Source organism: Homo sapiens, chromosome 9 (genome assembly GCF_000001405.40).
Source record: "Homo sapiens chromosome 9, GRCh38.p14 Primary Assembly".
NCBI classification, from domain to species: domain Eukaryota; kingdom Metazoa; phylum Chordata; class Mammalia; order Primates; family Hominidae; genus Homo; species Homo sapiens.
Window position 1 is genome coordinate 123,334,745 of NC_000009.12, and position 19,182 is coordinate 123,353,926.

At 52.2% G+C, this 19,182-nt stretch overlaps 1 long non-coding RNA gene across 1 annotated transcript, besides 5 other annotated features; it reads right to left on the minus strand.

Annotated features, from left to right (window-relative positions):
- Positions 1-2,656: 2,656 nt before the first annotated feature.
- Positions 2,657-5,306, minus strand: LOC124902266 (uncharacterized). Its single transcript, XR_007061760.1, has 2 exons — positions 5,063-5,306; positions 2,657-4,387 (listed from the first exon to the last, which is right to left on the minus strand). It is a non-coding gene; the product is annotated as an uncharacterized LOC124902266 (long non-coding RNA).
- Positions 3,321-3,480: an enhancer, noted in NCBI's record as "active region_28937". NCBI's record gives its function as "activates an Ori minimal core promoter by ATAC-STARR-seq in GM12878 lymphoblastoid cells {active_cell/tissue: GM12878}" and the evidence as "EXISTENCE:reporter gene assay evidence [ECO:0000049][PMID:35858748]".
- Positions 4,341-5,350: an enhancer, noted in NCBI's record as "active region_28938". NCBI's record gives its function as "activates an Ori minimal core promoter by ATAC-STARR-seq in GM12878 lymphoblastoid cells {active_cell/tissue: GM12878}" and the evidence as "EXISTENCE:reporter gene assay evidence [ECO:0000049][PMID:35858748]".
- Positions 8,948-9,007: an enhancer, noted in NCBI's record as "active region_28939". NCBI's record gives its function as "activates an Ori minimal core promoter by ATAC-STARR-seq in GM12878 lymphoblastoid cells {active_cell/tissue: GM12878}" and the evidence as "EXISTENCE:reporter gene assay evidence [ECO:0000049][PMID:35858748]".
- Positions 14,482-14,983: an enhancer, noted in NCBI's record as "H3K4me1 hESC enhancer chr9:126111505-126112006 (GRCh37/hg19 assembly coordinates)". NCBI's record gives its function as "activates a minimal SCP1, AML or CMV promoter by ChIP-STARR-seq in naive H9 embryonic stem cells {active_cell/tissue: H9 hESC(naive)}" and the evidence as "EXISTENCE:reporter gene assay evidence [ECO:0000049][PMID:30033119]".
- Positions 14,984-15,483: an enhancer, noted in NCBI's record as "H3K4me1 hESC enhancer chr9:126112007-126112506 (GRCh37/hg19 assembly coordinates)". NCBI's record gives its function as "activates a minimal SCP1, AML or CMV promoter by ChIP-STARR-seq in primed H9 embryonic stem cells {active_cell/tissue: H9 hESC(primed)}" and the evidence as "EXISTENCE:reporter gene assay evidence [ECO:0000049][PMID:30033119]".

Consider the following 19,182-nt stretch of genomic DNA (forward strand, 5'->3'; position numbering starts at 1 on the left):
AACACTTTACAAGATAGACTATTATGCTCATCCTATGGGTCAAGGAAATAGAGGCTCAGAAAGGTAATATGACCTGCCTAAAGACACACAGCTGGTTTGTTGCACAGCCAGAAGTTTTGTTTGTTTGTTTTGTTTTTTGTTTTGAGACAGGGTCTCACTCTGTCACTCAGGCTGGAGTGCAGTGGTGTGATCTTGGCTCATGGCAAACTTCGTCTCCTGGGCTCAAGCGATCCTCCCTGCTACTCTGGGATTGTAGGCATTAATCCTTAACCTCCAGAGTAGCTGGGACTGTAGGAGTGTGCCACCATGCCCAACTAATTTTTAAATTTTTTATAGAGACTAGGTTTTGCCATGTTGTCCAGGCTAGTCTGGAACTCCTGGGCTTAAGTGATCTGATCTGACTGCCTCAGCCTCCCCAAATGCTGAGATTACAGGCGTGAACCACCGGGCCTGGCCAGAGCCAGGATTTGAACCCAAGTTTTTATGATTTGAAAACTCATGCTCAAAGCCCCTACACTGTAGAAGCTGCCTTGGTATCTATTTCTCCCTTATCAGAAGGCCCTCATGCCTACAGTTAGAGGAAGGGACAGAACTTGCATGCACACCAGGCCACCTAACGATGACACACAAGATGAGCATTGTCAACCCCATGTTATGGCTGAGGGACTCAGCCTCAGAGAAGTAAATGAACTTGCCCGAGGTCATAGATGAGAAATAGCAGAACTGGGATTGGAGCCCAGGGTCTTTGCCTGGCCCCACCTGCCCTCTGCCCTCACAGCCCTATTACTCCTTCCATGATGGGGGTGGCAGACATCCCAGGCTGGGTCTCCAGAGCAGGCCCAAGTCTGGGCCTCAGGGCAAGGTCATCAGGAGGCCAAAGAGGGAAATCTTTAAATGGTGTCAGGTTCATTGCCTTTGTGGCAGAAGGAAGAAAAAAGAAGAGGCACAGAAGCAAGGAAGATGGAGCTGATTCCTGCTTAACTCACACCCTCTCGTTTGGCTGAGTCAGCGATGCAGGGAGGCCTCCCTGGCCTCAGCACAGAATCGCAGGAATCTGCAGATCTGCTGGAATTTCTCTGCACTGGCTGGCACGGGAGGTGACGAGAGCAGAGGAAAACGACTGCTGTTTTTATTCTCTGGGGCTGGTTTCTTTCTCTCCCCACTCCCCCCCGGCTTCTTGCTCATGTCTTTGAAAGGCCACTTGTCTCTGACTTGCACAGCACTCAACAGTCTAGAAAGCCCCTACAAAGAGCTCTTCGGTCCCCAAAGTGATTTATGATTTTGAAGTGCTTTTTGGATTATGAAAGGCTAACCTACAATAGCCTCCTCACTGCGGCAACATTTACAAAGTGCTTTGCAAGTCACACGGCATTTTATAGTTTGCAACATTCTTTGCAGCCAAAAGGTGCTTACCTCTCCAGAGGGGACTTCAGAGTTTGCAAACCCTGGTCACACCTCTTCCTTTATTTAAACTGCAGTACAGCTCTGTGATAAAGGCTGATAATAATATCTATCACTCATATGGCGTTCACAGTGTCCTAGATATTCTTATGAGCGCTTTACATACGTTCACACATTAATGGTTCAACAACCCCGCAAGGTTGCCACTATTATGATACCCATTTACAAATAAGGATGTTGAGGCACAGCCAGGTAAACCTTGCCCAAGATCACAGGGCTGTTAAGTAGTGGAGCTTGGATTTGAGGCATTGATGTTTGATAGGATGACGACACATTTTGTATCCATTTTTCATATGAGAAAAACAGAGGTCTAGGGCAGTAGCCAGTTCTGTCATGCCCCCCATGTGACCTCAGACTGGTCTTGGCATGTCTCTCGGTCTCTTTTATCCTTCTCTGCAGAACTGAAAGGATAAGCCCCGCCCTGCTCTCTTCTCAACTCTGAACAAATGTGAGGTGTGGGGGTGATGATGCTGGAGGGAGGAGGCCAAGCCTCAGCACCCCCACCCTGGCCTTGCTGCCTGTGCCAAGGTACCAAGCCTTGCCTCAGCTTTCCCCTCTTGGGTGTGGCTCCACTCTGTACAGAAGGCCACCTGGAGGCCTTTCCTGAGATCTCCTATCTTACAGGTGGAGGGAGAGTAGGGTGATGGGGTGGCATGGAGGAGGGAACTTCACCGAGGGCCCAACTCCCATCTTCTGGGTAAAGTCCTCTAGTGAGAGCCCAGAAAAATCACAAGAGTCCAGCCCCCCAGCCATTGACCAGCTGGAGAAACTGAGGCCCCAAAAGTGGAGGTACTTACAGTCACTCAGAGAAGTGGGTGCAGAGGTGGGGCTGGAATTCATCTCCATGCCCTTCCCATGGCCTGTGCTGGGAGTGTGGCTTCAGATCTGAGAAGGCCTTAGATCATTTGTTCATTCCTTCATTCATTTGTTCATTCATTCTTTCATTCAGCTAGTCAGTCAACAAACATTTCTTGAGTGTCCACTCTGTGTCAGATGCTAGATTTAATAATTGTGGGTATGGCTTGGTCCCTGCCCTCATGGAGTTTATAGTCTAGCACTGTGCTGCCCAGTGCAGTAGCCTCTGGCCACATGTGGCTGTTGAGCAGTTGAAATGCAGCTGTTCCAAACTGAGATGTGTTACAAGTGTGAAATACACACTGGATTTTGAAGACTTAGTATGGAAGAAAGTAAGATATCTCAATGATTATTTATTTATTATTATTTTTTTTTTTAGACAGAGTCTTGCTCTGTTGCCCAGGCTAGAGTGCAGCAGCGCAATCTTGGCTCACTGTAGACTCTGCCTCCTAAGATCAAGCAATTCTCCTGTCTTAGCCTTTTGAGTAGCTGGGACTACAGGCACACGCCACCAATCCTGGCTAATTTTTGCATTTTTAGTAGAGACAGGGTTTCACCACGTTGGTCAGGCTGGTCTTGAACTCCTGACCCTAGGTGATCCGCCTGCCTCGGCCTCTCAAAATGCTGGGATTACAGGCGTGAGCCATGGCACCCAGCCATTAATAATTTTTTTTATCTTGATTACATGTAGGAATGATATTTGGAGTATAGTGGGTTAAACAAAATATTAGATTAACTTCTTCTGCATCTTTTTACTTTCTTAAACAGTAGTTACAGGGGACGGTGGTTCATGTCTGTAATCCCAGCACTTTGGAAGGCTGAGGCAGGAGGATTGCTTGAGTCCAGGATTTTGAGACCAGCCTGAGCTATATAGGAAGACTCCACCTCTACAAGAAATAGAAAAAATTAGCTAGGTGTGGTGGCACACGACTGTAGTCCCAGCTACTCAGGAGGCTGAGGTGGGAGGATTGCTTGAGCCAGAGAGTTCGAGACTGCAGTGAGAAGTGATTGTGCCACTGTACTCTAGCCCTGCTCATTCTTCTGAGAGGAGGTGGCTTCCTCTTGCCAGTGAGGAGGTCTCTTGGGGCCCGTGTGAGCAGCCGAGTACTTGGGGGCACCAGCTCTGTGGCTGTACCACCTGGACCTGGTCTTGATTCTGCCACTCACCAGCTGTGACTCACCACCCCACAATGACCCACATGATTACAATTGTGCTATGGGTCTTTTTTTTTTTTTTTTTTTTTTGAGACAGGGTCTTGCTCTGTTACCCAGGTGGGAGTGCAGTGATGTGATCACAGCTCACTGCAGCCTCGAACTCCTGGGCTCAAGCTACCCCCTAGCCTTAAGCTCCTGAGTAGCTGGGACTACAGTTGTGCTCCACTGCGCCCGGCTAATTTTTTAAAAAATAGAGACAGGATCTCACTTTGTTGCCCAGGCTGGTTTTGAACTCCTGGGCTCGAACAGTCATCCTACCTCGGCCTCCCAAAGTGCTGGGATTACAGGCATGAGCCACTGTGCCCAGCCTGTGCTGAGTTTTGCAGGGAGAGCACTCGAGCAGGTTAATGGCAGCGTCCGGCCAGTGGAGGAGGTGGCATTTGAGTGGAGGCCCCCAGGGTAAGGAGAAGCAACTAGAGGGGAACAGCATGCTGGACCAAGGGAACAGCAGGGATGGAGATCGGCCCTGTTGAGGCCCTGAGAGAAGCAGGTCAGCTTGGCCGAGGCTCAGAGATCTGGCCAGGAGGGGGGCCCTGGTGGTGGACAGAGGCCAGATCACAGGACCTCAAGGGCCACACTGAGGAGATTGTTCTTTATCTGGAGGGCAGCTGGGAGCCATGGAAGGTGTGTAAGCATAGGAGTGCCTGGAAGCCTCAAGCGCTCTCTGGCCTTGTATAAGGATTGAGAGAGGCAGAGTCTGAAGCTGGCTTTCTCTTCCTCCAGAGAGGTGGCCCATGGCAGGGCTTGAATTCTCGCCAGGTGGAGCTTGCTGGAACTCCAGCTTCACTGCTCTCTCGCCGTGTGGCTGTGTGACCTCAGCCAGATGACCTGCCTCTCTGTGCTTCGGTTTCCTTATCTGTAAAACAGGAATAACGGTGGTGAGTCACTCGAGGGTTCTGCGAAGACTTGGTGACGTAACGCTTGCGAAGTGCTTGGCACAGAGTAGGTCCACGAATAGTTGTCCCTTTTCCTTTTCCCTTCCTGAGTCCCCCCACCCCACCTGTCAAACACCATGCCCCCGCTCCTCAGGCGGCAGGAAGCAGGATCGGAGGAGCGTTTCTGCACCCGTCAGAGTATTTATAGCTGTGTGCTGTCAGCCCGATGTTGTTTTTCGGTTGCATATATATTTTTACATTTTCCACCGTCACACATGGTTTCTCAGTGCGGTTGAGAAGCAGCGGGGGTGGAGGGTGGTGGATGCAGAGAGTGGAGAGTGTAGGAGGCGGAGCCGGATGGCCCAGGACAGCACCGAGGGACGGCCTCGGTCACTTCTGTCTCAGCTCAGAAGCCATCGATGGTTCCCTATTACCCTCTGCCCGCAGCCCGGGCTCCTTCGCCATGGGTCCAGGCCCTCCCGAGAAGGATTACATGTAGGAATGATACTGCGCACCGCAGCTGCGTTTCTCACCACTGGCTCTCTCCACTCCCCGCGTCTGAGCCACTTTCTTCCCCGAGTGCATAACCAGGGGAAAGCGAACCGGACGTAGCTCTGCTACTCACCAGCTGCGTGACCTCAAGCAAGTTTCTTTACCTTTCTGAGCCAACGTTTCCTTTCCTGTGAGACAGGAGCACTAACTCCAGTGTCCTGGAGCTGCCGTGAGGATTGAGTGTACAGGCGCCTGCCCACGAATCCATGGTAGCCATTGTTAGGCGCGCTTCAGTCGCGTGTCTCCAGGCCTTTGCACAGGCCGTTCCCTCTGCCAGGAATCCCCAGGCCACCTCTTCAGGGAGTCCTCCGGGCCTACTGCTCCCCCGCACCTCAGCCCATCCACTCTGGGAGGGGACTAGGAGAGTTCTTTGTAACGAAATTCTTTCTCCTCTAAAAATAGATGTCACACTCCTTGCTTATAAAAATAATCCGTACCCTCCCAGTACCAAGCCTTCCCGTGTTCCTGCTCTATCCTCACACACTTCCCCGGGAAGTGGGTACCATGTCTCCATTCTTCAGGTGTGGGAAGTGGATTCGGGAAGGGAAGTGACTCATCCCAGCTCTACTCAAACTCAGACTTCAGACTCAAGGCCCCGTGGTTCTTGCTACGCGCAGCCTGACATGGCCTCCCTCCCCTACACAAGGCAGAGTTGTCTTCAGAATCTGTCACGTGGGTGATCATGCGACCCCACGGGGTGTTCTGAGGAAGCAGAGGGGCCCTGAACTAGATGCCATGGCTTGGTGCCCAGGACACACTCCCTTTCCTCGCAGGTCACTGCCTCCAGTCTCAGAGCCCACCCAGGCTCCTCTCTGCTCTCTGACCTCCTTCTCACAACTTGGGAGCCCAGGGCCCCCCACTCCCTGCCTGCCAAAGGCCAGGCCCTCAGAGCTGGCTGTGTACCCCTAGCCTTGGCGTCTGAAGTGGGTGGAGCTGGCCGTAGAGGGCACTGTTGCTAGGCAACAGTCTGGCAAAGAGTATCAGGCGCCCTGAGAGGAAATGAAAAGGGGCCTTTCCTTGGGGGCTGGAGGGGAACAAGGTGGGGATGGAAAGAAGAAGGGCCTCCACCTCTTCTCCATGCTGCCAAGACCTATACCTCATCTTCACCCTCTCCATCCCCACTTCAACCTCTCACTTATTATTTTTTGAGATGGAGTTTCATTCTTGTTGCCCAGGCTGGAGTGCAGTGGTGCAATCTCGGCTCACTGCAACCTCCGCCTCCTAGGTTCAAGCAATTCTCCTGCCTCAGCCTCCCAAGTAGCTGAGATTACAGGCACCACGCCTGGCTAATTTTTTGGTATGTGGTAGAGACAGGGTTTCACCATGTTGGTCAGGCTGGTCTTGAACTCCTGACCTCAGGTGATCCACCCGTCTTGGCCTCCCAAAGTGCTGGGATTACAGGCGTGAGCCACTTTGCCCGGCCTCAACCCCTCACTTATTTACTCATCTCTACTCTCATTCATTCATTCATCATTACACTCACTCGTTAATTAGCTTGTTAATTTATTTACTTGCTGTCTGGTGAATCACGGCTTCACTACTTGCTGCGACTTCGTTACCCCATCTGTGAAATGGGAATAATGACTGTATAGATTTCATAGGGTTGTGTTTACACCGCCCATGGTGAGCACATTATAAATGTTTGTTCTTATGATGATGAGTTATTCACAATACTTCCTAAGCACCAGATCTGTGCCTAGCGTCACGCGGGGCTCTGCGGTGACGGAGGTAAATGAGCTCTCAGCTCAGTGGGAGAGACAGATAAGACCACAGGTGGAGCTGGCATGGGCCTTGCCCATCACCTCCAGATTTCCTCCGATTGTTTTGTGGGCACATAGGGGAGTGTTAAGGGCAGGGGCTGTGGAGCCCTGCACCATGGAATTGTAGGCTGACCCTTTACTTACTAATGCTGCACTCTTGGGTGACAGATTTAACCCCTCTGACCTTGGTTTTCCATCTGCAAAGTGGGACCTGGCAGTAAACATCTTCCTGGATCTAGAGAGGATGCAATGAGATCATGTGTGACCCTTTCTGGGCACTGGGTCAGCTTGCAACAGGGCAGCAATTATTGTTATTGGTGCACGGTGGGAACCGGGTCTCCCCAGGGTGCCGTGAAGTCTCTGAGGGCCGGGACCCAGTTTCTCCTCCTTTTTCTCTCTTTGCTCCACCTTTCTGGGTCTGCCTACTGTTTTCCACCTCCAGCCGTATGCTCATGCCGTTCCCTCTTCCTGAAATAATCTTTCTCGTTATTTCTCCTAAAGCTCTAATATAGTTCTTGGAGGCTTCAGGCCCCAGCTGGGACGTCTCACAAAGTGAATCTGGGGTAGATTTTCAATAAACTCCTCACTTATATCCTGCTGCAGCCAAGCCCCCAGGACCCCATCTCCTTGGAGGAGCCAAGTAGGGTGGCTGCAGCCTCTGCAAGTGAGCTGACTCCTTTGGGGCATAATTCACACTTTCTCTTAGCCTCTGTCCCCCGAGGCCAAGCCTACATGGTCCATCTCTGCAGATTTTCTGCCCACGAGTTCCCTGGAATCCAGAGAACACTCCCAAGAGAGACAGTCCTTGTCACACCACTCATGATCTCCCAGGCTGCTTCTCCCCAGTGCTTAGCACATGGAGATGCATTCATTTCTTGTGAGCACGTTTATTGACTGTGTGGCTCCCCTGCCAGCCTGAACACTCCGCAAGGTCAGGCTCTGCCTCTGGTTCCCCACTCAGTCCCCAGCACCCAGCCCAGACCTGGTGCATAGAAGATGCTTGTCACAGAGATGCTGTGTGGGTGGATGGACAGATGCATGAAGAATCCGTGGTGTGGAGCACACGGGGAAGTGGCCTTTGTTCTTCCATATAGAACGGCAGAGGCTGGAAGACCAAGGATCAGAAATTCCAGAGGTGAGTTTCAGCTCTGTGAGCCCAGACAAGTGGGATCCCCTTTTGGGGGACTCGGTTTCCTTACCTGTGCCATGTCTGCATAATAGTGCCTACCTTATGGAGATGACTCTGAGCATCCAATGATAGGAACTGGGACACCCAGAAGGGAATGATGGCCTGCCAGAATTTGGGGCTGGATCAGTTGCACAGATTCATGTGCCACTCACTACCCTTCCCTGACACCCCTGCTGCCCTGGGCAAGACTTAGGAACTTGGTGACTAGCTAGTTCAGGTGACAGAGGGGCCTGGATGCTCCTTATGAGTCTCCCTTTGGGAGATGAGCCCCTGATTGAGCCTAGATCCTATAGAAATACAGTGTGGGCCAGAGGCCAAGTCATGCATGTCTCTGAGCCTTGGCCACTTTGTCTATAAAAGGCACCATAATATAGGATGAGTGTGGTGGCTTATGCCTGTAATCCTAGCACTCTGGGAGGCCAAGGTGGGAGGATCGCTTGAGCCCAGGAGTTTGAGAACAGCCTGGGCCACAGAGGGAGACTGTGTCTCTACAAAAAATAATAAAACTGATGATGTGTGGTGGCACATGCCTGTGGTCCCAGATACTTGGGAGGCTGAGGCAGGAGGGTCGCTTGAGCCTGGGAGTTAGAAGTTGCAGTGAGCTGTGATTGCACCACTGCACTCCAGCCTGGGTGACAGAGCAAGACCCTGTCTCAAAATAAATACAATATAACACAATAATAAAGCACTGAAATAAAATGAAATGGGTGATAATAGAACTCTACGGGTTGTCCCGAGGAAGCAGAGGGACCTGGAAGTAGATCCCATGGCTTGGTGCCCACAGCTATTAGGATTTTTCTTGTCAGTCGTGGTAGATTTTGGTTCTTCCATAAAGAGGAACCCATTTAGGTGTTTTTTAGAAATACCTCTCTGAATTGAGATTCCGTGACTCTGACTTCCTGGCTGACCGGGTGAGTCTGGCTCAGTTCTCAGTGTAAGCCACACCCCAGTCTTCTACCTCCCACGCAGCCTCTCTTCATTTTGTCTCAAATGGCCCTCTGCTTTCCATGGGAGGCCTGGGCTCAGTCTGGGACTAGGATCTGAGCTTAGACTGGGGTGGAAACTAGGCTCCGTCTGTAAGCAGTATTGAGGTTCAGTCTGCCTGGGAACGATGAGTCTGCGGATGACCTGGGTTGGGTCTCATTCAATGCCAGGATTGTCTGTGACAAGTATTTCAGCCTGCGTTCCTGGAAACAGATTCTGGACTGCACGTGTGTTTCTTGGGGCATGTCCTTGGGAGATCCACCTGGAAGGAAGGAGCAAGGCTGACTGGGCAGAAGGAGACTGACCCACCGTGAGGTTGCAACTGAGGTCCCTACGAGGACCCCTGGAGCTGACGATCCCCTAGGGTTTCCTAGTTGAGAAGGAGCCGTGCCTCTGCAGCCACACATGGGTCAGGCACTGGCCACAGGCTGTCCCTGGCATGGGGTATAACCCAGTGAGGTAACAGCAGTCCCAGCAGCTTGGCCCTGAAGAGGGGCTCTGGAGCACAGAGTAGTCCCCACAACCCACCCCAAAGCTCAGGCTCACACCAGTGTTTCAGTCAGACGCTGGATGTCCCCACAGGACAGGATCTTTGTCCCCAGCATCTAGCACAGGGCCTGGAGGGGCAGCACAAGCCTCAGCCTGCAAATGGAGGAAGAAGAGGAAGTGTGAAGTGGTGCCCTGTGCCGCATTGTGTGGGCCAGCTGCTCAGCCTCCCCCAGAGGTTCAGAGAGGGCTGGCCACCTGCCTAAGGTCACACAGCTGCTAAGGGCAGAGCCAGGATTGGAACCCAGGACTGGCTGAGTCCAGAGCTTATGGTCTCTCAGCCACATCAGACTGTGAGCTTATTAGAAAGCAAGGGCCGGGGGAAAGGAAAAGAGCTGCTCTTCCCAGTTCCCGGAGCAGGGCACTGGAGCGGGGCCCACCAACTCTGGCCACCTCTGGCCAACCTGCCAGGACCCATGCCCAGGGGAGGGAGCAGCATCTTGCGGGCGGGCAGCCTTTCTTGGGTAATGAGGCCCAGCCGGCAGTTTGCAGGCCTTACCATGTGAATAATTCATTTGCAACCAAGTCTGGGAATTAGAAACCGTTACTGGATGATTTATTTAACAGGGGCTGCTGCTGGGGAGAGGGGAGGAGGATTTTGAACTATAAAAGGGAAGTACATACCTTGTAGATAGATTCAGAGAGTCCCACAGACCTGGGTTTCAGTCCAGGTCTGCCTTCTACCAGCTGTGTGACCTTGAATAAGTGACTGGACCTCTCTGTGCCTCAGTTTTCTTTGTTGCAAAAAGGGGATAATAATAGAGTTGTTAAAAGGATTGAATGAGTTAGAATTTGGAGAGCACTTAGAATCATGCCTGGTTCATAGTAAGTGCTCAGTGTTTGTTGTATGAATACATGACAGCCTATATAGAATAGGAGCTTAATTGAGCATGTACTTTGTGACAGGCCCAGTTCTTTTTTTTTTTTTTTTTTGAGACGGAGTCTCGCTCTGACGCCAAGGCTGGAGTGCGGTGGTGTAATCTCGGCTCACTGCAAACTCTGCCTCCAGGGTTCACGCTGTTGCCTCAGCCTTCCGAGTAGCTGGGACTACAGGCACCCGCCACCACGCCTGGCTAATTTTTTGTATTTTTAGTAGAGACCGTGTTAGCCAGGATGATCTCGATCTCCTGACCTCGTGATCCACCCGCCTCGGGCTCCCAAAGTGCTGGGATTACAGGCGTGAGCCATGGCGCCTGGCCGGCAGGCCCTGTTCTAAGAGCTTAACATGCGTTATCTCATAGCACTCATGTAAATTGGATATTATTATTATTGCATCTATATTAGAGATGAGAAAATAGAAGCTCAAGCTGGAGCTCAGACAGCTAGTCCTGGCAAAGCAGGGATCTGAACCCAGCCAAGACTCCCTGACTGCAGGGCCCATGCAGTTAACCACATTCCCATATCACAGATCTGATGCACAGCCTAGCACAGACCTGGCTCTTATTTTAAGAAAAATGTCCCTGTCCCCGCTAAGCATTGCCACTTTCATCATGACATTTGATTCTATTAACAAACCCGACAGGTGGTCAGGGAGCATGTGGTCTCTCTCAGCTGAGGAAGCTGAGGCTCAGAGAAGGACGTGAATCGTTCAATGTCCCACAGCCCCAGATGAAAGCCAGGCCTCCCTGAGGCCTCCTAGCAATGATCACAATGTGTCTTATAACAGCTCAACCCCAGGCATGTCTGCTTACGCCAAGACTGCACTCCTGGAAGGCAGAGGCTGTGTCTTGGTTTTGCCGGATTCACTAAAGGTCCTTATTGAATAGCAGAGGAAGGAAGGAAGAGAGGGAGAGAGGCAGGAAGGGAAGGAGGGAGCAAGGGAGGGAGGTAAGCAGGCTGATATAGTAGGTAAACTGTCTCTTGTCATCTTTATGCTGCTCCTGCCATAGCTCCCCACACACCCCCCCACCCAGTAAAACATACACTGGAACACATGCTCACACGCTCCTGTCCAGGGTGAGGTCAGTGTGGCCCCTGAGCCAGGCTGCCTGGCACGTGGCTGTGAAATCGACCCAGGCACTTCTGAGGGGCCAGGTGTCCTTGGCCTCCCACAGGAGGTGGCACTTTGCCAGACCCTTGCAGAGGGTGGCGGGGTCTCCAGGCCTGTCCCTGGATGTGAGCACAGGGACACGGCAGCTCTGCCCTGTCCACCGGCTGCTGGCGGGCCTCCCGGGCTGTGCAGTGCGCTGGGTACACAGGTGTTTGGGCTTTTATGATTGCATAGGGGTCTGTGTGTCTGTGGATGTGGGACTGGTGTGTTTGTAGATGTGTACTGAGGATATTTTTGAATCTTGTAGGTGTGTTGTGTATCTCTGCACATATTTGCATTTGTGTGGGGGGTGTGTTCTGTGAGGGTTCTGTATCTGGGTATTTCGATTTCGAGTGTTGGGATAGGTGTGTGCGTGTGTGTGTGTGTGGATGTGAATATGTTTGTGTGTATTTGGGTGCTCTGGGGGGCATTGTGTGGATGTACACACACGTCTATCCAGACTAGTGCATGTCTGTGTTAGCCAGTCTATGTGTGTTTGTAGAATCTTGTATGTATACAGATATTTGCGTATCTGAATTTGGAGAGCATTTCCGGCATGTGGGAGGGTGTGTGCGCGCGCGTGTGTGTGTGTGTGTGTGTGCGCGCGCGCGCTACGTGATGCGTGTGTGATGTCGGATGTCTGTGGGGGTGTATGTGTCATATGTGTGGTTTGTAAGGTGTGGAGTGCTGTGTGTATGGTGTGTATGTGGTCTGTGATGTGTAGGGGTTATGATATGTGTGTGTGTGTGCATGCTGTGATGTGTGTGGCATGTGATGAATGTGTGTGGCATGTGATGTGTGTGCTTATGCGATATATATGGTGTGTGATGTGTGGGGGTTGTGTGGTGTGTATAGGTGGTGTGTGATGTGTGGGTATTGTGTGTGATGTATGTGTTGTGATGTATGTGTACACTGTGTGATGTGTGGGGGTTGTGATGTGTGCAGGTGTGTAGTGTATGCTGTGTGTGGGTTGTTTGTAGTGTGTTGATGTGTGTGTTGGTGTGTGTATGAGGGTGTGTGGTGTGTGTGTTGTGATGTGTGCAGGTGTGTGGTGTGTGATGCACCTGTGTGGGTGTGTTATGTGTGCAGGTGTATATTGTGTGTGATGTGTGTGGGTTGCATATGTGTAGTATGTGTGTTATGTGTATGCTGGTGTGTGTGTGTGATGTGTGTGGAGGGTGTGGTGTGTGGGTTGTATGTTGTGTAGTGATGTATGTAATGTATGTTGTGTATGATGTGTGTGTTGTGTGATATGTGTGGGAGTGTGTGTTGCATATTATGTATGTGTTGGTGTATGAGTGTGTGGTGTGTGTGGGTATGTGTATATGATGTGTGTGTTGTGTGATGTGTGTGTGTTGTGTACAGGTGTATGGTGTGTGATGTCTGCAGGTGTGTGTTGTGTGTTATGTGTATGGTGTGTGTGAAGTGTGGGGGTTGTATGTGTTGTGATGTATGTGGATGTGAAATGTGTGTGTGTTTGTGTGGTGTGTGATGTCTGGGGGTTATATATGTGTAGTGTGTGTTGTGATGTATGTGGGTGTGTGATGCGTGCGTGGGTGTGTGTGATATGTGCAGGTGTGTGTGTTGTGTGTGTGGCGTGTGATGTGTGGGGTTGTATGCATGTAGTGTGTGTGCGTTGTGATGTATGTGTGTGACGTGTGGGGGTGTGGACGGGCATGACGTGTACAGAGAGAGGTCCAAGCATGAAGATCAGGAGTCTTTGTTCCAACTTTGGCATGTGACGTGGGTCAGCCCCTGCCCCTATCAAGCCTCGGTTTCCCTGTCTGGGCAGTGAGCGCCATGTTGTTCAAGGGGGACTGCATTTCGGGGTGCTCAGCCGCACAGAGAAGGCAGCTTCCGGGGAGCTCTGCCACGTCGCGGGCATGTCTCCTTGCAGGTTGTAAAATCCTTTTGGCAGGATTTGGGCTTGGGCTTGCTCTTTCCATCAGATTTAATAGGAAAAGGGTTTCCTGTTTCGGTGTCTCCGTTTGTTATTCATTTCTTGTTTTCATAAAATGTTAAAAGACTGTGCCATTTAGACAAGTAGAGATGCCAGTCACTTTCCCTAAAATTGTCATCCTGTCACTCCCTGCTCTGCAGCTGGGGTGATCCTTCCCAAATGCCAAGCTGCCATGACACTGCCCTGCGGAGATTCTTCCCAGGATCCCCTCCTCTCTGGTGGCCGTGGACTCCCAGTGGCCCCCTCCTCTCCAGCTGCCTCCCTGCTCTCTGCACCGCAGCCTTGCCACCCTCTGTCCCCTTCTATCCGTGTCTCTGCCAGCCTCCCCTGCCTCCAGCCTCTGTCCAGGGATATTCCCTTGTCCTGGAATGCTGCTCTCCTGACTCCCATCTCTCCCCTCATTTCCTCTGGCTAACTCCTCTCCATCCTTCCCCCTCTGGATGCTCTGAGGAGGATCAGGTCTGACTGTGAGCTCCCCAAGGACGGGCAATCTGGTTCTCCCTAGTAATCTCAGCACCTACCATGTTGCCCAGCACACAGGAGGTGTTTAATAAACACTTGGCGAGTGAATTAATGCATTATGAATGAATGGATGATGTCCTGTCCAGCTTTAGCTTCAGTGGCCGGAAGACCCGAACCCAGGGTGAGGACTCAGATGGCATCTCCATCAGAAGCAACTGCCTCCAGCTTCAAACTGTCCTGAGCCCTGACCCTGGGCTGACTGAGCCCTGATCCTGGACTCAGACTAAGCCCTGACTTCAGCTGCAGACTGAGTCCTGACCTGAGACATTTAGCTTTGACTCCAGACACAGACCGAGTTTAACCCCTTCCATGAAATCATTGCTGGGGAGAGTCCTGGGCTGGGAGTTAGAGGTCTCAGTTTGAGCCTTAGCTCTGCCACGGTTCTCTGGGTGACCCCAGAAGGTCCTATCCCCCTGTACCTCAGCATCACAGCAAAATAGGTGCATCTCCAGAAAGTACAGAACACCATTGAAATATGGCAGCCAGTCCGAGGGTGGTGGCCCCTTCCTGTAATCCCAACACTGGGAGGCCAAGGTAGGAGGATCACTTGAATCCAGGGGTTTGAGACTGACCTGGACAACACAGCAAGACCCCATCTCTAAAAAAATAAAAATGAAAAAATTAGCTGGGCATGGTGGCACACACCTGTAGTCCCAACTGCCTGGGAGGCTGAGGCAGGAGGATCCCTTGAGCCTGGGAAGTTGAACCTGCAGTGAGCCAAGATCATGCCACCGCATTCCAGCTTGGGTGGCAGCAGAGACCCTGTTTCTAAATAAAAGAAAAATAAATTTTAAAAAATGTGGCAGCCATTCACGCTCGGGCCCCACCCACGAAGCTGCTGTTAATCCCAACCCCAGAACATTCCTGCGGGGTAAAGGTGTCCCAGGATTCTGGGGCGGGGGGTGGCTCACGGGAATCCCCCCTTACCTCGGTTTTTGTAGGAAGGCTCAGGAAGGGGTTTGGAAGGGCTGCTGTGCTCTTTCCGCTCAAGAGTCCATTCCATCCCACCTGGGGTGCTCTGTCCATGCGACCTTGGGTGAGTCACTCCCCTTCTCCCGTAGGGGCAGGGGGCGGGAACAGGGTTAGAAGGGCCCAGCCTGGCTGTACTTGTCTGCAGTTCCTAAAGTCTGCCTCCGCCTGCTCCCGCCTCAAAAAGACCCCTCTCCACTGCCAATTCGGTGCCTGAAGGAGGAGGTGGCCCAGAGACAGTGAGGCCACTGGACTTGGGCGAGGCTCCGATAGGACCCCCAGGACCTACATCTGAACGGTGAGCTGGGTTCTATCCCCCTCCCAGAGCGGGTGGAAGCTAAGCTGGTTGGAGAGGGGAGCCTGGGCCTATCCTGGAGCTCCCTCTAGTGTCTGAAAAGGGGCCTACAGTCTAACCTTCATCCAGGGGAGGACTGGGGGTTGTTTGTCCTGGCCACCCTCCCCAAGCTGTTTTGCCAGCCCCCAGTCTCTACCCTCACTCCTGGGGGTTCACCAAGCTGAGATCCTGGGGATACACTAGGGCTATTTCCCTTGTTTCAACCCCAGCGGACACCAAATTCTATTGTTCCTGATGCCCAAATGCCCACTCCTGCTCTCTGTGACTCCACCCAACCCCGTCCTGATTCAAGCTTCGTGGCCTTTCCCTGGGTGATTTCAACGCATGCACTCCTTCAGTGCAGCTTTCACTCTTCCCAGAGGGAACTCTGCCACATGCAAACCTGGCCACGTCGTTCCCCTTCTTTCACCTCTTCTATGGCTCCCCAGTGCCCTCAGGACACAGTCCAAATCCTTAGCACCTTACAAAGACTGTGCCATCTGTCCTCTGCCGACCCACCAGCCTCACTTCTAATCATTGCCATTTTGCATCCTGACCCCGGGTAATAATGACCTGTCTGCAGTTCCTGAAGGTACAATGCCCTCTCTCACACCTGACCTTGGACCATCCTTGGTTTTCAGCCAGGTATGCCTTCTGCCTCTTCTCCACTTGGAAACTCCTGTTCTTACTCCATGGTGGTACCTCCCCTGGGGAATTGCCCTTTTGCAGCTGGCCTTCTCTTGGGCTTCCCACTGGGCTCTAAGCCAGCCCCTCTCTGCCTTGTCCTTGAGTCTGTTCCTCTAGACATGAGCTCCCCAGTGGTGAGGGCTGAGTGAGTCTCATCTGTGTATTCATCATCCTACCACATGCCTGCCTTAGGATGGGTACGGATGCCTACACTGGTGAGGAGAACAGGGCAGGATCAGTGCTGGGGGCCTTACGGGAAGCCCAGGGGTCTGTCGGAGCCTAGAAGAGGCCCCGACGAAGCCTGGGGGTTGGGGGAGGAGCAGAGAAGTCTTCTCTGAGGAGATGATGCCAGAGTTGGAGTCTTCAAGGATCAGTGCAGTGTCAAGAGGCACTCAGTCAGGTGGGGGCGGGGTGGGCATTCCAGGGAGCAGACCCTGGCATCAAAGACTTGTGGGCAAAACCTGGCCACTGGCCCAGGGGTGTGTGTGCATGTGTGTGTGTATGTGTGAGAGAGAGAGAGAGAGATTTTAGTAGGGGCAGAGGGAGAGACGCTGAACGGTAGAGAGGTGGGCAGAGGAGCTGGGGGCTGAGGATATTGATCTGTGTTTGTGCCAGGGACTGAGTTATGAAGCGTTCTGGGCATGAGTCTCAGGAATTTAGACTTGGCCTTCGTGCAACTGGGGGTCACCAGGCAAGAGACACAGTTGAGATTTGAAAAAAATCCCTCTGGCAATTGGTGTAGAACCCAGGGGCCTCCTGGGCATCGTTTTGGGCATTTGTGGGGTGCTTTCAGTTATCATGATGACTGGGGGGTACTACTGTGAGTTAGTGGATGGGGCCTGGGATGCCAAACACCCTGTGATGTTGGGAACAGTCCACATCATGAAGGGTTGGCCCATGTGCCATTTGATTTTGCATTTCCCACCAGGCACGCGTGCAGAGGGAAAACACCTGTCTGTAATTGTCTAAGATTAGAGCACATGTCTGGCTTGCATAGAAACGGAGAGCATCTTTGCGTGGTTTTTAGCGAAGACTGATTTGCCAGAACTATGCCTTCCATGCACATTTTAGGAAGATTGCGCCTTATCTTGTTTGGAGCCTTACCCAGATTCGCCACCATTTTGAAAAACTACATACTTCATGGCAGATCTTCTCATGGGATTTGAGCGGCCAACGGGACCTTCCCCACATTGGTGTGCATCTGTGGCTGTCACCTTCAGTGGAGTTCTGTGTAGGCACACACTTCTCATTGCTTTATTGTGTCTGCTAGCATAGTGTACTCAACAGGAGCATTTACAATTTGAAATAATGGATCACCTTAAATTACCTTCGTTATGTATTCTTTTTTTTTTTTTTTTCTGAGACAGAGTCTCACTCTGTCTCCCAGGCTGGAAGGCAGTGGCACAATCTCAGCTCAGTGCAACCTCCACCTCCCGGGTTCAAGCGATTCTCCTGCCTCAGCCTCCTGAGTAGCTGGGATTACAGGTGCCCGCCACCATGCCTGAATAAGTTTTGTATTTTTAGTAGAGACGGGGTTTTGCCATGTTGGCCAGGCTGGTCTCGAACTCCTGATCTCAGGTGATCCGCCCACCTCGGCTCCCAAAGTGCTGGGATTACAGGCATGAGACACAGCGCCCGGCCCTTTATGTATTAATTTAACCAACACTCATTTAACTCTTGACATTGCCAGACACTTTTCTAAATGCTTGATGAGTAATTATTTAATCCTCAAGACAAGTCTATGCAGTAAGGTGCAGTTGCTGTCTCTTTTTTTTACCAGGGAGCTAACTGAGGCACAGAGAGGTGACTTACCCAAGGCTGGAGTCGGGCAGACCCAACTCGAATCCTGCCAGGCACTGGTGCTGGGCCAACCTCACTTCTCTGTGCCTTGGTTTCCTCATCCATAGAATGGGGCCAGTGCTGACCTTGCAGTGCTGCTGGGAAGTGGAGAAGCCGGGATTTGAATCAGCATCTGTGCACCTCACCACTGGCCTATAGTGTCTGCCTCTGATGTTTCAGTTAGGGCATTGGGTTGGTTTTCTTTTGGAAGTTACAAGCATACATATGTTGAGACAAGGTTAAGTGCCACTGGTGGAGAGCCTGTGAGAGCTGGGCTGGGAGGGAGTGGAGGTCTGGTCACTGAAGCTGGGGCATGGACACGCTTGTCCAGGGAGGAATGTGGAGTGAGGAGGGCAGGGGGCTGGAGACAGACCCGGACAGGTCACAACATTCTGGGAGGAGGAGTGAGGAACGGTTAACAAGGTAGAGAGACCAGGGTAGCAGGGGTTGGGGAGCCCACAGGGACAGAGTTCCAAGAAGGAGGGCATGGGTGACAATGGAGAAGGCCTTAGAGAAACCCAGTGAGGTCAGGGCTGATGGTGGCCCCAGACTCAGACACAGAGGGAGCAGGGGGACCTGGGCCGTGAGAGCCGAAGGGGCCTCAGCTGGAGCTGCAGTCACTCTCACCCCAATACCCAATGTAGGGAGAAGGAGGGGAAGAAACACCCCAACCTCCATCTCCTCTCTCCCTGGCATCTCCGGCCTGTGCCTCCCACTGGCTCACCTTTCCAGGAAGCAGATGGAAGGAAGCCAGCATGACACAGCCCACAGGTGCCAGCAGGGCAAGGGCGGCTCTGGGTGGGGAGTAGGGACAAACAGAACAACCAGTGAGACCCTGAGAAGGGAGATGTGAGACCCTGGGGAATGATCCAGAGCAGGAGTCACCTGGAAGGGTCTGAAGGGGTTCCTTCTGGTGGGCTCCTCAGTGGGGAGGGTCACTATCCTCCCACGACGAGGCTCTGACAGCAGCCGCCCAGTCCTTGCAATGTTCTCAGGCAGATGCTGTGATGATCCCATTTACAGATGGGAGAACTAAGACGCAGAAAAGGAACAGACCAACAAAAGCTCACCTAAGGGCAGAGAGCAGGAACCGGATTCAAACCCAGGTCTGCCTGATGCCAAAGCTGGGACTCCCAACCACTGAACCTTGCTGTCGCATGTGCCCATCAGCTTGAGAGTTGGTGGGAATCCCGGCCCAGGACAGCGTCCCCTCAGCCAGGGAGGTGGCAGCAAGTCATGCTCAGGCTAGTGGAGGGGCAGTTAGTAACCTGCAGTCGGAGGTTCACCAGTGGAAAGGCTGGAGTCGGGCAGACCCAACTCGAATCCTGCCAGGCACTGGTGCTGGGCTGCTCACCTCTCTGTGCCTCGGTTTCCTCATCCATAGAATGGGGCCAATGCTGACTTT